The sequence below is a fragment of the Homo sapiens genome, chromosome 16 (genome assembly GCF_000001405.40).
Source record: "Homo sapiens chromosome 16, GRCh38.p14 Primary Assembly".
Lineage (NCBI taxonomy): Eukaryota > Metazoa > Chordata > Mammalia > Primates > Hominidae > Homo > Homo sapiens.
The window spans coordinates 6,332,559-6,350,556 of NC_000016.10; the positions used below are offsets into that span (position 1 = coordinate 6,332,559).

General features: G+C 41.7%; 1 protein-coding gene across 16 annotated transcripts in view, besides 2 other annotated features; it reads left to right on the forward strand.

Annotated features, from left to right (window-relative positions):
* Positions 1-17,998, forward strand: part of RBFOX1 (RNA binding fox-1 homolog 1) — a 2,473,620-nt gene that overhangs the window by 1,092,838 nt on the left and 1,362,784 nt on the right. The window lies entirely within an intron of this gene.
* Positions 9,251-10,137: an enhancer, noted in NCBI's record as "OCT4-NANOG hESC enhancer chr16:6391810-6392696 (GRCh37/hg19 assembly coordinates)". NCBI's record gives its function as "activates a minimal SCP1, AML or CMV promoter by ChIP-STARR-seq in naive and primed H9 embryonic stem cells {active_cell/tissue: H9 hESC(naive and primed)}" and the evidence as "EXISTENCE:reporter gene assay evidence [ECO:0000049][PMID:30033119]".
* Positions 10,138-11,023: an enhancer, noted in NCBI's record as "OCT4-NANOG hESC enhancer chr16:6392697-6393582 (GRCh37/hg19 assembly coordinates)". NCBI's record gives its function as "activates a minimal SCP1, AML or CMV promoter by ChIP-STARR-seq in primed H9 embryonic stem cells {active_cell/tissue: H9 hESC(primed)}" and the evidence as "EXISTENCE:reporter gene assay evidence [ECO:0000049][PMID:30033119]".

The following is a 17,998-nucleotide window of genomic DNA, read 5'->3' on the forward strand; positions in this document are numbered from 1 at the left end:
TCCTTCATAAAATGTTCATGTCACAGCATAGCGTGCTGTTATATCTTCATACACACACATGCACACACATACACATACACATCTGGTCAAGGCTTGTGAGGCCACATTAGGGGTTCTGGGAACAGGAAGGTAGTGGAGAAAAATTCCCTCTCCTAACCATTTAGTGTATAGGAGTCTACTGTTTTAGTGAATAGTTCAGAGAACTTAAAGGTGTTCAGAGAAGAGAAAGTCAGCATAAACCATGCCGTGGACTAGAAGGGTAGATGAAAGGTGTTGGAAAAATGTAGAGATGAATCCTTCATTGATGATGCCCATCTCTTATGAAAGTTATAGAACATAGATGATCAATATATTAGCTACACCTTACAGAACATGGGCCATTCTAACAGATCATAATCATTATTTAATATCTTACTGAGAGTTTTGATTGTATTTTATTATTGATCCAATGTCATGTTTTGATGTCCTTGACATGTGACATTCTTTTTTTTTCTTTTTTGAGACAGCATCTTGCTCTGCCACCTAGGCTGGAGTGCGGTGGCATGATGTCCCCTCAATGCAGCCTCTGTCTCCCGGGCTCAAGCAATTCTCCTGACTCAGCCTCCCGAGTAGCTGGGACTACAGTCATGTGCCACCATGTCCAGCTGATTTTTGTTTTGTATTTTTCATAGTGACAGGGTTTTGCCATGTTGGCCAGGCTGGTCTTGAATTCCTGAGCTCAGGTGATCCACATGCCTCAGCACCCCAAAGCGCTGGGATGACAGGTGTGAGCCACTGCGCCCAGCCAGACATTCTTTCCTTTGCTATACTCTTTCATATTGTTTAAAGCTGTTTTGTTCTTTGGATCTGATAGTTCTGTTGTTTTAGTCCTGAGATTTCTCCATTTCTTTTCTGCTTTTTATTCAGTGTTTTTTCAAATCTCCCTTTGTCATCATAGCTTCTCTTTGCCTCACATTCTTTTCTATCACTTGTCAAATTTCTCATCAGCTTTTCATCCTTGATTTTTCAGAGTTTGGTTTACGAAATGGTCCAGTCATTTCTACACCTCTGAAAAACTCTTAAAATTAAAAAATATATATATCAGAAATGGATACAGGCTTATTTTCGTGGATGGACTTAAGTTTAGAATAGGTGGCATATGTTTAAGTTTTTAGATCACAGACATTAGGAATTGGCTTTTAAAAGATGTTACATCAACGAATGGTTAGAAAGCAGTAACATCTTTTCTACAAAGATACTTGTCATCTGTCAGATTTATTTATCAGTTAATAATAAAGTGATTTTTCATATCACTAGATGATTTTCTACTGTCTCATTAGTTGAAGAAATCAAAAGAAAGCCACCCTATGCTAACTCATAGAAGGGCATAACTATTTAGTACCCCGAGGGCCAAAGAACAATTAAAGTGAATTAAAATTATTTCTTTTTTGGTGGGGGTAGGGGGGAGCAGGAAACAGAATGACTAGACTCCGAAGGATTTTTCTAGAGAAATATTTTAACCATTGAGTAAATTTTCCTTGATTAAAGAAGGAAATAACAACTTGGAGAGGAAATCTAAGTATTACTTTAGGGTTATTGAGAGATGCCGGCTAGTGGTACTTGGAAAGATAAGGACAACTTGTCAGCCACTCCACAGAGAAGTAGTTTTATTAAAAGTCAACGAAAGTGGCCAGGTGTGGTGGCTCACGCCTGTAATCCTAGCGCTTTGGGAGGCCAAGGTGGGCAGATTTCCTGAGCTCCGGAGTTTGAGACTAGCCTGGGCAACATGGTGAAACCCCATCTCTACTAAAATACAAAGAATTAGCCAGGCATGTTGGTGTGCGCCTGTAGTCCCAGCTACTCAGGAAGCTGAAGCAGGAGAATTGCTTGAACCCAGGAGGTCTAGGTTGCAGTGAGCCGAGATCATGCCACTGCACTCCAGCCTGGACAACAGAGCAAGATAGCATCTCAAAAAAAAAAAAAAAAATCAAAGAAATATGCTAGAATCGTCATTATATATTGAGAAATAAGATTCAATATCCCATAGATTTAGGCACTCTTCACATCTGTGTATCTGGATTGGGTCATAGGGAGTTTTATTCCAGGCTGAGTGAAATAAGACAGAGGACAGGCAAGTAGATTTCTTCTTGCTTGCCAGTTCTCATTCGCAGAGGATCCCTGTAGTTCTGTTGAGAATTCATTGGAACTCAGCCGGAAAGTGCTGAGATTGATTAGCAATGTCTTCCATGGGTACAGGAAGGGGAGGTGGCAGGTAACATATATACCAGCTTTTGCCATTCTGCTCTAGACAGAAGAAACTTTTCCCCTGTGGTCAAAGAGGGAGAGATATTTGCTTCTGGAGACTGGATCTACTTGGGTTGGTGAATGCATTTTAAGATGACCTGGTTTCATATTACTGTCAAGCAAGAGAGAACAGTGTCATCCTATAATGTCAGGAGTAATGTTACAGTTCAGTTGGGAATACCTATTATGCCTGTTAGTATTTCTAACTAAATCCCCTTTCGATGTGATAGTTTAATTGTAGGAACATTTTTCTGCAGTTTTGTTTAGGGAATACTGCTTGCTTAGCGCTTAATCCATTTATACTATTGGATTCTGTTGCAAATGACACTCACACTGGAATGTGTGTTAGACACGTAAGGCAGACGGGAAGATGGTTCCATTCATTTCAGAGAAATGGGAGGCAAAAGTGAGTAGGATGGCTTTGAAGGTGGTGGTCTTATGTTTGAATGCGCGTCAGGCCCCAGGTGGTAGGTCTTGGTACTGCATGCTGCTTTATTCATGCATCTCTCTAAACAAATACGTCCTCAGAGAAGAGAGCCAGGAGAGGGAGGAAGTTCTAGAAATGTGCTATTGGTAAATATACCTAAAGACAGTGGCATTTCTTTAACCATGTTCATCATAATGAGAAATGCAGTAAATATGAAAATAAAAAATCAGGCCGGGCGCGGTGGTTCACGCCTGTAATCCCAGCACTTTGGGAGGCCGAGGCTGGTGGATCACGAGGTCAAGAGATTGAGACCCTCCTGGCCAACATGGTGAAACCTCGTCTCTACTAAAAATACAAAAATTAGCTGGGTGTGTTGACGCGCGCCTGTAACCCCAGCTACTTGGGAGGCTGAAGCAGGAGAATCGGTTGAACCCGGGAGCCGGAGATTGCAGTAAGCTGAGATCGCACCACTACAGTCCAGCCTGGGGGATACAGCAAGACTGTCTCCAAAAAAAAAAAAAAGAAAAAAAAAAGAAAAGAAAAGAAAAGAAAAAATAAAACAAAAAAATGGAAAATCTGTAGTAAAGTCAGAGAACCTGCATTGTGATATTTCCTATGTCCATATGTCCATCATTGTTCTCCAGGTATTGCCTGGTTTTCCAGCCTCACAGTAGGCAGTGGGTGAGAGACGCAGCATGATGGGAGAATGAAGCCCATTCATAGTGGAATCAAGCCTCCATCTTTGACCTCAGTCTGTGACCTTGGCAGCTTCTTGACTCTGTGAGCCTTGGTTTCCTCTTTTGGTAAATGGAACAACAAATGGATACTTGCAAATAAGAAGGCTTAAATAACTGTGATATATATATATTCATATATATACATATACATATATATATATATATATATATATATATTTTTTTTTTTTTTTTTTTTTTTTTTTTTTTTTTTGAGATGGAGTCTCGCTCTGTCGCCCAGGCTGGAGTGCAGTGGCGAGATCTCGGCTCACTGCAAGCTCCGCCTCCCAGGTTCACGCCATTCTGCCTCAGCCTCCCGTGTAGCTGGGACTATAGGCGCCCGCCACCACGCCTGGCTAATTTTTTGTATTTTTAGTAGAGACGGGGAACTGTGATTTATTTTTAGTCTCAGTTGAAATGGGGACCCTATGGCTCTGAGAAGTCAAGACCCACTGGTAAGTAAATGTCAGAGCTAGCTTTGAACTTCAGCATTCTTCCTACAGAGCTGATATCTCATGATGTGCTGTAGAGAGGGCTGGATTTATAATCTAGAGAGGGCTGGATGTTGATTCTAAAACTAGTGCTTCAGTTCCAGCCTCATCACACACCACCCGGGAGAACTTTGCCAGTTGTCAACTTCCTTGGCCTCTGTCTCCTCATCTCTGAAAGCCATAAGATTCTGTAAAGAGGTGGGGGGGAAATTGGATGAGATGATAGATGTGGAGACAGTTTGCACAGCAGGACAGGCTATGCAGTGGGAAAGTACCACTGTAAGGAAGACTGGATGTATAGCTGCAGAAGGTCAGAGAAGACATAGAAAATCCTTTAACACCTGAGTGAAAACGATCCATGACAAATGAAGTTACTTCATTTAAAAAGAGCCTAGTCAGAGTTTTATCATATTCAAGAAATATCATTTATTGGCAATCTACTATCTGCAAAATCACTGTTCGAGTTTTTCTTTGTGATCCAGAGCAGTTTACATTGCAACCCTTATTCTAAAGGAACTCAAAATGGCATTGAGGAAAGCATTTTTCAATCTGACCCATTTTTTGGAACCCAAGAGTTCAGAGCACTTTATATTACTCGACAGTTTATTTCCATGGAGGGAGTCTATAAATGCTTTATATTTATCCATGTTATGAATTAATGCATTTCTGAAGAAATCCACCCACCATGTGGCATGTTGATTCCCCTTTTCTCTCATTTCCCCCAAAACACCAAAGAAGGAGGGCCCTATGAGGTTCAATGGTCTCCTTTAATGGTGCATTTAAAGTCGACATGCTGATGCCAAGTCTTTCTGTATTGTGCCGTCCCAACAGGGATGGCTTCTTAGCAGCGAATATGGGGTGAGTAATTTGAATCACCGCCATCAACCTGAAAAGCCAAAGTTGTTCCAGGATAACCCAAACCAGAACAAACCTCAGATATTTGCAGGTGAAAGAACGAGAATACGAATATATGTTGTGGGCTGGGAGAGCCAAAATGGCAAAGGAGTGGAAATAAATTAATGGGGGGAAATGATTGATGTGGAAGTAAGTCTCTCAATTGTACACCTGGATGCCACATTCTTACAAGCAGCCCAGTAGAGGCAGATATATAGGCTACAAAGACACGTGCTGTCAAGCAGCAAGCACTACTTATTGTCTCTGTTTTCTCTCTAATTGATACGTGTCTTAGGAAAGCTTAGGTAATCACTTGGCAAAACACATCTTTATAAGACCATCTCTGTAAAAAAAATAAAAGTATTAAAGTGACAGTGGCACAGAAAATCATAAGAAAATTTTTCCACGTTGAGACGAATCCTCCTGCCTCTTCTTGAGAATCCCTCCAAAGATATCCTGTATGTCTGCCTTGTGAGAAAACACCCCCTTGGGTACAAACTGGTCAATATCAGGAAGGCAGCATGCTCATATCTCAGTCCCAATGCATGCCAAATCACTAAGTGGATGGCATTTTCACAAAGTCAGAAAAGCGACAGTTTTATTCTCAAGGTTTTGTTACTATGTTTCATGATGTGCAAGCAATACTTTGGACAATTTTATCCAGATGGTTTTGTCCAGGTAATTTTTGTCTGCAATATGTGAAATACGTGATATTCTACTATCAGATACTTTGGATTACTGTTTTTTAGTGGTGAGAATAAAAAGATACCTTCATTTTCCATTAAGTATTACATTTTATGAATATTTTCCCCACCTCTTCACTTGAATACCTTCCCACTGCAACACACACACCTACACCTGTATTCCTTTTGATCCATAATTATAAGCTTTTGAAGGGATTATATCAAGATTACCTATTTTTAATACCATGTTAATAATTAGACAACTTGCCAATGTTGAAGTTTGTTAAGGTCCTCTCCATCACAATTCCTGAGCTAATTACTAGAATATCAGTCAGTAGGTTCTAAATCAAAAACTCTGGGCGTGTGCCTAGATGGAAATCTGAATTTTTAATAGGCAGATGAGTTGATCTTTATTAATAGTAGTTTGAAAACTAACACAGTTCAAGCAAAAACAAATTCTCATACAGTTGAGCACTGGGACTAAAATATTTTTTTAAAAACTTGGTCACTGGATGAAATCTAAGTTCTTGGCTTTCTCTTAAAGAGTACTTTAAAGGTTAGAAATCCACAACAGTGGCTACCTGGTTATGTAATTCCAAATTCATTCCTCTTCTAAGACATACAATGGCACTCAAGAGACCTGAAAAAGTTAGTTCTTCTTCAAAGAGTGCATGTTTAACCAACTTCTCAAACCAGGTGACCATTATTATGTTCACTTTCAAAAGTACGGAACAATTTGAACCTGTAGAAATGTATCCAAAGGAACTTAATCTTTTATTTTGTGGTAGGTACACAATAAAAGTTTTCTTCATTGAATGAATTAGTCAAGAACTCATTCTCATAATGCAGGAGAATGAAATGGGAAGGGGTGAGGGGTGGCATAGCTCTAGGAGACTGGCATGATTACAGATTTGGGTAATTCCCAGGATCCAGTAGCCTGGGGCAGACTTAGACAATTAGATAGAAGGATCAGGAGTGGAATGGAATATGGCAAGAAATGTATGTGCATGCAGTGAAAGCGGGCAGAAAACAAAACTCATTGATTCATTAAATGAATATTTTATGGAATACTTACTGTATGCCAGGCACTGTGCTGCTGAGGAAGGCCAAGTTGACAGAGTAACTGGCCATCCCAGGATTTCCACAATTGAGGAGTGTCCTTAGAGGTGGGACTTTCATACTAAAGCCAGGGAAATGCCAAGCAACCCAACCTGAGTCAATCATCTTGAACTTGAAGAAGTGCTGTGATTTTAATAGGTTTGTTGCCTGATGTGTGCAGCAAGTCAATAGGAGACACTGGGTTACAGCAGAGAAAGTGGTTTAATTATGGGGCTGCTGAACGAGGAGCAGCAAACATCAAATCCATCTCCCGGAGGAGCTGAGGGCTAGGGTTCTTGGAGAGGGCTAAAATGTGGAGATCATTCATTGATCAAAGAGGTCATCGTAAAGTCATGGACAGGGAGGTAAACAGTATTCTCATACTGATTCTGTTCCTCTCTGGGAGGTCTTTAAACTGGTTGGCATCAGCTGTTTCACTGGAATGTTGGATTTGATAAACATCTTAAGCGATTCCTTTATTTTTTATTTTATTTTATTTTATTTTATTTTATTTTATTTTTTGAGAGAGTCTCGCTCTGTCACCCAGGCTGGAGTGCAGTGGTGTGATCTTGACTCACTGAATCCTCTGCCTCCCAGGTTCAAGCGATTCTCCTGCCTCAGCCTCCTGAGTAGCTGGGATTACAGGTGCCTGCCACCATGCCCAGCTGATTTTTTTTTATTTCTATTTTTAGTAGAGAGAGGGTTTTACCATCTTGGCCAGGCTGGTCTTGAACTCCAGACCTCATGATCCACCCACCTCGTCCTCCTAAAGTGCTGGGATTACAGGCATGAGCCACCGTGCCCAGCCCATCTTAAGCAATTCTTAAACAAAAGCTTTATGATTCTAGTATCAGAAATCCTATGTACAGGAACAATGGGGATGCAAAAGGTTGGTATCTAGTGACTTTCAGTTAGAAGGAAGTGGAACAAAGTGCAGCCTGATTAATACTTAATTATGACCATATTTCTGCCCAAAATTCTTGTTAACCATGTGAGGATGGCTTCAGTGCTAACAAGAGTGATGAATAGTATGGGTGCTAAGGGGTCACGAAACAGGCCGTCCGACTATCTGCAGCAAGGGGACAGGAAGTATAGGGGTTGGGGGAGAGTTAGGCCTAGCTCACTCATGACCTAAATTAGTTACTGGTGTTACCGAAAATGGGTTTGGATCCAGACTCTAAGACAGGGTTCTTGGATCTCAAGCAAGAAGTAATTTAGGGCAAATCCACAGAGTAAAGTGAAAGAAAGTTTCTTAGGAAAGTGAAGGAATAAAGGAATGGCTACCTCATAGGCAGAGCAGCAACAAGGGCTGCTGGTTGCCTGTTTTTATGATTATTTCTTGATGATATGCTAAACAAGGGGAGGATTATTTATGCCTTCCCTTTTTAGACCATGTAGGGTAACTTCCTGACGTTGCCTTGTATTTGTAAACTGTCATGGCACTGGTGGGAGTGTAGCAGTGAGGACAACCAGAGGTCATTCCCATTGCCATCTTGGTATTGGTGGATCTTGGCTTCTTTACTGCAACCTGTTTTATGAGCAAGGTCTTTATGACCTGTATCTTGTGCTGACCTCCTGTCTCATCCTGTGGCTTAGAATTCCTTACTATCTGGGAATGCAGCCCAGTAGGTCTTAGCCTCCTTTTACGCAGCCCCTATTCAATATGGAGTTGCCCTTGTTCACATGCCTTTGACACAAGAGTGAGCCAGGGAAAGAGAGACATTCAAAGGAGAGGTAACAGCACTTCTGGGGACCTGGGGGATCACAAGCATTAGGAAAACCAGAAGAAAAAAGGGGAAGGGGTGGACAGAGAGTGGCACAGAATGAAGCCACAGAGATGGGCAGTGTCCACTGTCTCTAGGGTCTTGTAGGGCATGTGTAAGCTTTCCACTGATGCTGCATCAAATGATCACAAATCATTGATTTAAAACCATGCAAATTTTCTGTCTTACAGTTCTGGAAGTTAAAAGTCTAACATGGGTCTTACTGAGCTAAAATCAAGGTGTCAATGGGGCAGCATTCCTTCTGAACTCTCTATGGGAAAGAACCTGTTTCCTTGCTTTTTTTTGGCCACTAGAGGCTGCCTACATTCCTTGGCTTGTGGCGTCCTTCCATTTTCAAAGCCGACAATGGCAGGTTGAGTCTCTTTCACATCAAATCCCTCTGATACTGACTCTTCTTTTACCTCGTTCTTCTCCATCTTGTATAGGAGATGAGTAAAAGGAGGTTGAGACTTCCTGGGCGGCATTCATAGGAAGTTAGGGATTCCTAGCCTCTAGATATTTACAGTTAAGGGAACAGATTAATAATGTTTACTAAACAGACCCAGGCTCAGAATGTCCTGATATCCCCATATCTTGAAAACAAAAGGATTCCTAATTTTGCTTTAAAGATAATAATGCTGATTCTTGCAAAATATAGTAATTAAGAAAATTAATCCTTTATCACAAACCCTGATAGTAAAGCACATCTTCCCATTTTTTTTTTGTTATGCTGTATATAAACAAGCATTGTACATAGGGTGGCTGGTTTCCTCCTCTTACATTATGAATGTCCTACTCTGTCTATGGAGTAGCTGTTATTTCACCACTTTACTTTCTAAATAAACTTGCTTTTGGTTTGCATTGTGGGCTCTCCCTGAATTCTTTCTTACACAAAATCCAAGAACCGTTTATTGGAGTCCAAATCAGGACTGCTTTCTGGTGACACTTTTAACGATTCTCGTGATTCCACTGAACCCACCTGGATCATTCAGAATAATTTCTTGCGTAAGGTCAACTGATTAGCAACCTTAATTCCATCTACAACCTTAATTCTCCTTTGCAATAAAACATAAAATACTTACAGGTTCCAGGAAGTAGCATGTGGACACTGTTGGGGGGCCTATTATTCTGCCTAGCACAGGGCACAGTAAGGATTTTGTGCAAATTCAAACAGGAATTGGCAAACTATCAAAGCCCTGCTTTGAAGGGGAGTGATGGTGGTCAATTTGCATTTCAAAGGATCACTCTGCTGCAATGTGGGAATGGAGGCAAGCTTGTGTAAGGGATTATCAGTTGGGAAGCTGTTGCAGAGCTCCTGGGGAGAGATGGCGGTGGTCTGGACTAGGATGGCACCACGAAGATGGACATGTGGAAATGCATTCTGGCTATATTAAACAGGGAGAATTGACATGAATTAGAGATAGATTAAAAACAAGTAGAAACGAAGGATCCCATGTTTTGCCATGGCAATCTTTTCACATTGAATGAATACAAAACGTCAAGGTGCTTAGCATAGACTAGCCCATGAATGGCACATAACAGAAACAACCTTGATAAGGTTCCTGTCTCTAAATTTAAAGATGTGCACAGCAACCTCACGAGATTCAAGGTTGAGGCATTGAGGGTAGAAGAAGTAATGAAGTTAGGTAGGTTTTGCTGAGTGGCATCCACGTGGATGTCTATTAGAGAGTTAGGTATACATATCTGAGGTTCAGAATGCACATTCCTGTCCATTTCTTCCAAATATAACCTTTATTCCTCTAAATGCTTTTTGTGAAATGTGTTTGGTATTTGATAAATCTCTTCGGTGCGTATCTCCAAATTTGGAGATAGGAACCTTATCAAGGTTATTTCTGTTATATGCCACTCACAAGCTCGTCTATGCTAATCACCTTGACATTTTGTATTCATTTGGTGTGAGAGGAATGCTTTATCCTACATTGATGGGGACACTTGTTTCTAATGAGAAATCTGATGAAATCAGGTGCTTTGAATACAGATCATCTCCAAACTTCTGTCGCTTTATATTTTTTCTGAAGTTTGTCTCCTCCCTTTAGGAGACCATGGTTTTTGATACGAAACTCCATCTGATAGTCATTTCTGATAAGGATTTTACTTTTAAATCCATCAAAAGGGAGGAGAAGTGACAATTTAAAGTGGGCAGATGGAAAAATGAGTCTCTTGGTCTTTCTTTATTTCTTATACCCCTCTTCCTCTCTGTTCTTTTCACAAAAGATAGTCTCATCAGAAATTCGGGGAAAAATGGCTTTTCATTCTTATTCTCATTTTCTGACATTCTTACTCTACAGTCATTATTAATGTAGAAAACTCTGTCTATTAGGTAATCTGTGTCTTCCCCTACCCTGGTGGTATTTCATTATCATTTAAATATGCCACCCACTGCTCCTTCTCAAACCTTTTGAATAGAGGGTCATTAGTAGATTTTTCCCCCTAAATTATGCTCAGCAGTTGTTAAAGGAAGATAGTCTTCAGGGAAGTTCTTTCTACATTGAAGAACTGAAGTGAGGATTTGCGATAATTATCTGGATAACTCAGCCTCTTCTTATCCCTCCTGAGGTGGAACATATTTCCTGTTCTCTTTCATTCCTTCCTTCTTTCATTTCTTATGGATTATCTTTGCCACAAACAACAACAATAATAACCAAAACAAAACCAAATAAGGTATTCATGTTTCCATGCTTCCTATAGATGTAGAAAGTTTTTAAAAAGTGTTTTTTGAATTGCTAGCTACTGTTTAAAAATTAATACAAATGCATGTCAAACTTCCTATGAGACATTTTAAAGCAGGACTCGTCTTGAGATTTGAATCAGTCGTCTTTCTCAGTCATTTTGGGGGATTAATTCTGTGTTTTCCATGCATAATATTCCCTTTGGATTAAGGATTACTATGAACCTGGGCTTTGTCTTCATCCTTAAGAATCACCATCCCCTGAGAATTAAAGATGATGCTTCTCATGTAAATTGCTTGAGGTTTTCACGAGTCTCTGGCTGTTACAAATGTCAGCTGAGCACAGTCTAATTCTAATCTTAGCAGAGTAACCTCTCCTGGGCATCGGAGACTGTGATGAAAGGAGGTAATCAGTCCTTCTTCATCTCTATTTCTCGTACCCAGTGCCACCTGATATGCATCATGGAAACTGTTGTTGGAGGATCAATGTCTAGGAGAGGCACTGCTTGATCTTATGCAACCTCCACCTCCCGGGTTCAAATGATTCTCATGCCTCAGTAGCTAGGATTACAGGTGCCTGCTGCCACACCCGGCTAATTTTTATATTTTTAGTAGACACGGGGTTTCACCATGTTGGCCAGGATGGTCTCTAACTCTGAGCCTCAAGTGATCCACCCACCTTGGCCTCCCAAAATGCTGCAATTACAAGCATGAGCCACCATGCCCGGCCTGGTATTATACAATTACACAATCTTTCCTTCTCTCTTCTTCTTTTTTCTTTTTTTTCTTTTTTTTTTTTGAGACAGAGTCTCTATCGCCCAGGCTGGAGTGCAGTGGCACAATCTCAGCGCACTGCATGCTCTGCCTCCCGGGTTCACGCCATTCTCCTGCCTCAGCCTCCTGAGTAGCTGGGACTATAGGTACCCACCACTGCGCCCGGCTAATTTTTTGTATTTTTAGTAGAGACGGCGTTTCAGCGTGTTAGCCAGGATGGTTTCCATCTCCTGACCTCGTGATTTGCCTGCCTCGGCCTCCCAAAGTGCTGGGATTACAGGCGTGAGCCACCGAGCCCGGTTTTTTTTTTTTTTTTTTTTTGAGACTGCTCTGTCGCCAAGGCTGGAGTGCAGTGATATGATCTCGGCTTACTGCAACCTCCACCACCTGGGTTCAAGCGATTCTCCTGCCTCAGCCTCCCGAGTGGCTAGGATTATAGGCATGTGCCACCATGCTCCACTAATTTTTCTATTTTTAGTAGACACGAGGTTTCACCAGGTTGGCCAGGCTGGTCTTGAATTTCTGGCCTCCCAAAGGGAGGATTACAGGTGTGAGCCACCGAGCCCGGCCTGGTCTTACAGAATCTTTGTGAGCATCAAGTCTGTCATTTGTAAAACAAGAACAATATATGGCGGCTTTTAGGGTGTTATGATGATACAGTAGGATGAGATGTTTGGAAGAGCAAGACACTAGATTCTTGTGAAGCAAAGCATTCTCCTGTTTGCCACTTCCTTGTTCTCTCCTAGGTAGACTTAAACAGCTCCTGCTGCAGAGTAGATGAATCCCCACATTGGCGCTGCGTCCAGGAGGGTTCTTGGCTTTACCCAGAAGAGAATTCAAGGGTGAGCCAGGTGTGTTAAACAGTAACTTTTATTGAAGCAACTGCGTACTGCTCCTTACAGAGCAGGGCTCCCCCTATAGGCAGTGTGCCCAGAGGCAGTTCTGCAGCAATATTTATGCCCACTTTTAATTACATGGAAATTAAGGGGCAGATGATACAGACATTTCTAGGAAATGGGTGGTCATTTCCAGGTGTTGCCATGGCAGTGGTAAACCGACATGGCAGGCTGGTGTGCATGTCTAATGGAAAGCTGCTTCTCCCCCAGCCCTGTTTTAGCGAGTCCTCTATCCGACCTGGTATGGGAATCCCCACATCCAGAGTCAGTTGCCACCTCCTACCTCACTTCCATCATCCTTTATACTTACTCGGTCCCAGCTACATGGCAGACATAATCCTAGGTGTGAGGATGTGTTGGGAGCAAACTCGAGTTTCTCCCTTCATGGAGCTTACATTCTAAAAGAGGGATCAGATGTTGACACATGTGAACCCATACAATCTAAGACTGGTCTCAGTTAATTTAGAAAGTTTATTTTGCCAAGGTTGAGGATGTGTGCCTGTGACACGGCCTCAGGAGGTCCTGACGACATGTGCGCAAGGTGGTTGGGGCACAGCTTGGTTTTCTACATTTTAGGGAAACATAAGACATCAATCAATACATGTAAGAAATACGTTGGTTTGGTCTGGAAAGGCAGGACAACTCGAAACAAAGGCAGGAAGACTCAAAGCGGGGAGGGGGATTCCAGGTCACAGATAGGTGGGATACAAAGTGGTTGTGTTGTTGAGTTTCTGATTAGCCTTTCCAAAGGAGGCAATCAGGTATGCATTTATCTCAGTGAGCAGAGGGATGACTTTGAATAGAATGGGAGGCAGGTTGGCCCTAAGCATTTCCCAGCTTGACTTTTCCCTTTAGCTTAGTAATTTGGGGGGCCCAAGGTATTTTCCTTTCCAACACATATGCAAGTGAATACTTATTATATATAGTGCCAATAATGAGCCCAAAACAAGCAATCCATCTGAGAGAATAGAAGCGGCCAGAAGGTACTGCTGTAGATAGTGTTGTTAAATTTAACTATATTTGGCCTGAGGATGCCTCTGTGACTGAGTCCTTAGTTAACAAACTACAGCCTAATTTAGTATGTGAACTAAGTGAAAGCCTAACTTGGGAATGTGAGTCTGTAACAGGTTGCTGAGTCTCAGCCAATCACGGCAGCTCAGCTTCAGATAATCCCAGGCGGCCAAGGGATCAGGTACTGTTCCAACGAGGCAAGGCTGATCTGTAACTAATCAAGGTGCTTCCCTACCTCACTTCTGTTTTCTGTCCATAAAGGCTGACTGCCTGTGTTGAGGAGTGGAGCTCTCTGAAACTCTTCTGGTTCCGATGGCAGCCTGATTCTCGAATTGTTCCTTGCTCAATTAAACTCTGTTAGATTTAATTTGTCTATAGTTTTTTTATTTTAACAGTGTCTTGATAATGCCTCAAGAAATGCCTTTTTGAGGTTATGATGTTGGAGCAGAGAGTTGAAATAACTTCGTAATTGAGGCTTGTCTTGGGATGGTTGATGTTAGTCATGTCAAACGCTGGATCTCTCATATATTACCAGAATAACCTCTTGACAAGACAGAGTTTTCTGTTTAACTGAATTATGGGAGAGCACTACCTCAACAGAGTCTTGGTGGTGTTCCAGGAGGATGGGCAAATTCAGGATATTTATTGAGATTTCAATGTGTGTTGTAAGGTGGGTCTTTCCATGTACAGCCTTGTTTACATTGAATAAAGATCATGATATTATAGTTTAGAATAGATGGACAGAGCAAGGCAAGGATATTGGGCTGAGGAGTTCAAAGAATCTTAGGGTGAAAGTGGCCATTTGATGCTTTCTCTTCAAGAGTAAGTGGGTCTCTGAAGAAGTTCCTGGAATGGGCAATAAAGCCATTTGGACTTTTAACTTTCTGGCCAAGAGTTTCCTGGAATAGTAAAGTGATGTGAAGAAGAGAGTCAACTAGGGAAGTCATGGTAATGTAGACAGTGAACGGGAGATGGTTCTCATCCTCAACCACCATCATCATCATTGTCTCTCCTCTTTACTGGGGGCTTCATGTGTGCTGCATACTATGCTTGGTTCTAAAGATACAGCTGTGAACAAACAGGCATGTTCCTTTCTTCTCATTTGGCTTATAATCTACCCGTGAAGGTAGATGCTAAACAAATGGTTGCATGAGTTAATTACAAATGCAATAGTTGCTGTGAAAAGAATGTTCTTCACTATGACAGTGTAGTGTCAATCATGGGGCGCTGTGGAGGCCTGGGAGTAACTGAGAGAGGCTTTGCATCTTGCATATGCATAGATGCTAGCTGGGTGAAGGACGCAAGAGACGGTTGGGTGAAGGAGACTGAAGTTTATCTTAGAGCAAGGAGAAACAAAATGTCCCTGTATATCAACAATTATTATATCCTATGTTCACAGAGAACTTGACACAAATAATATCATAAGACACATTCACAGTACACAGTGACAGTGCTTGGAAACATCAAAATTGACAGTCTACCTGCGACTGCCTGGCCCATTCCTCTAACTAAACAGCAGTTGTTTGTTGAAAGAATGAGTGAATGTTGAATTAATCAACACCATTTAGTTCCTCAGTGACCTCCAACAGCTCATTTGCTCATGCAGATCATACAGAAACTGGTGAGAAGACATGTTTGCATCTCAGCCTAGCTTACTCCTGAATACAAGAAAGCAGGAAAACAGGCCTTCAGGCGTGAAAGTGGGTGGTGGAAACCCAGCCCGTTCATACCTCTTGGTCAAGTTTAGCTATCCTAAGTGTGGGAGGCAGAGAAGGGGAAAGAGGCAGGAGTGCTCTGAGGGAGGTTATAGCTTTATGGGTTTGTGTGGTTTGAGGTCTTTGCTCTTGGTTTTGAGCACTGTAGGAGAGGAGATAGGCTTGTGATAAAATGTGGGGCACATGTGGGGTCAGGCCATCCAGGTTCACACTCCAGCTCCACTGTTTAGGAGCTGTGTAAACTCAGGCAAATCATTTAGTTCCTTCTTGTCTATTTGTCTCCTCTGTAAAAGAGAGATGGTATAGATGACACCATATGCTTCTTGGAGAATTGAATGAGATACTTCAGTAGAAAGCACTTATACAGAGACTTATATGGCATTTCTATGGCAAATGCTGCCCTTACGTCAGGGGAAATCTCTTTGCCCTGTTGTAGTCCTACTCATGCTTGGTGAGATGGTATATCAGCCTGTTCTTGCACTGCTATAAGGAAATACCTGAGACGGGGTAATTTATAAAGAAATGAGCATTAATTGGATCATGGTTCTGCACGCTGTACAGGAAAGATGGCAGAATCTGCATCTGGGGAGGCCTCAGGGAGCTTTTACTCATGACGGAAGGCAAAGCAGGAGGAGGCATCTCAGAGCAGGAGCAGGACTGAGGGTGGGGAGCGTGCCACGTTCTTTTAAACAACCGGATGTCCCGAGAACTCTCTCAGGAGACAGCACCAAGGGGATGGTGCTAACCATTCATGAAGGATCCACACCCTTGATCCCATCACCTCCCATCAGGCCCCACCTCCAACACTGGGGATTACAACTGAACGTGAGATTTGGACGGAGACACAGATCCAAACCATATCAGATGGCAACCCAGGAAAAGCAGATTTCAGGTGTACTATGCTTTTCTGGGGATAGAGATGGACAGAGGCAGATTTGCTCATTTTTGGAAGTCAAGCGCTTCAAAAGAAATTCTTATCTTGAGATTTGATTCCTGATTTTATCAGGATCTTACAGCAGACTTCTTCATGGAAAAGAATAACTGTTGGCTAGGCGAGCTGATGCTGTGCCGTGGGTTGCTATCTCTTTCAAATTCCTATCTGCAGTAACCTCTGTCTCTCTGAGGTTGAACCAAACACATACTTATTTTGAGCTGAATTTTAGACAGGTTTAGAGCAGCCAGAAAAAAAGCAGAAAAGTGCCCTTCAGAACTCAAAGCAGATAAAACTTTCTGTTATCCCTTACCTAGCCGACGACTTGAGTGTAGAATTCACTCAGCTGATAAGGAGGCTGACATTTTACCTCTTAGAAGTTTTGTCAGATAAAAGATGTGCAAGCCATGTTTACCATCCACTCTGTGTTTCAAACTTTTGATAATAGATTTAAAGAAAAAATCATCGAGATACGAATATTGTGGTAAAATAAAGCTACCCCATAGAATTAAAATAATGAGGATCAAAGAAAGGCTCAAATTGTTCAACATCCTTTAAAAGGATCCCTTTGAGAAAAGCTGACTTCTTGACCTATGTCATTAGTGGTTGGTAAACAATTTGCATGGCTTACTAGGATTACACTAATGTTCCTGACTCCAGCTCCAGCTTGCAGAGAGTGCAGGTACAGTCCTATTGAGAACACATCTTCATCTCTAGAGAGCAAACCTGGCATTAACAATGGGAGCTAAATAGAAAATCATGGCATTTCCCATGAAAAAAAGAGTAACATTAAGTGCTGGGCTAATTGTCAAGTGGAGGGTTGGATATCTTCTCCATTTTTCCCCATGGTTTTCCAATACTTTATAGGAAAAATGATTAATAAGATATCCAACTCCAAGAATTCAGAGGTCCAAGGAGATAAGAAAGGAAGGCAAGTTGGTTTAGAACTCGTGTCTTCTACAGGGGATGCCATGGGGGGCAGTGGTGAGCTTAACTGCTGGAGATTTCCATGGTGAATGTGCGTGTCTCTCCTTGGCAAAACATGTAGAAAAGAGACTTTTACTATTAATTACTTTGGTACGCTCAAGTATCCTTCTCAAAGCCCTTAAAATTTCAAAAAGTCCTAGGTTTGTGAAAAATCATGCAATTGATATTGGATTCAATTTATTTGTGGCGTATAGACAAAAATTCAGATGAAGAAATCGTAAAAAATACATGGTGTTTCACGCCTGTAATCCCAGCTCTTTAGGAGGCTAAGGCGGGCAGATTGCCTGAGGTCGGGAGTTCGAGACCAGCCTGACCAGCATGGAGAAACCCTGTCTCTACTAAAAATACAAAATTAGCCGGGTGTGGTTGCGTTGCGCATGCCTGTAATACTATCTACTCGGGAGGCTGAGGCAGGAGAAGCACTTGAACCCAGGAGGCAGAGGTTGCTGTGAGCCGAGATCGCACCATTGCGCTCCAGCCTGGGCAACAAGAGTGAAACTCTGTCTCAAGAAAAAAAAAAAAAAAAAAAAAAAAAAAAAAAAAAAAAAAAAAAAAAAAAAAAAAACAGTGTTCTCTAGAATATACTTCCCAACTTCTAAGTACTTCATTTAACTAGTTTTAG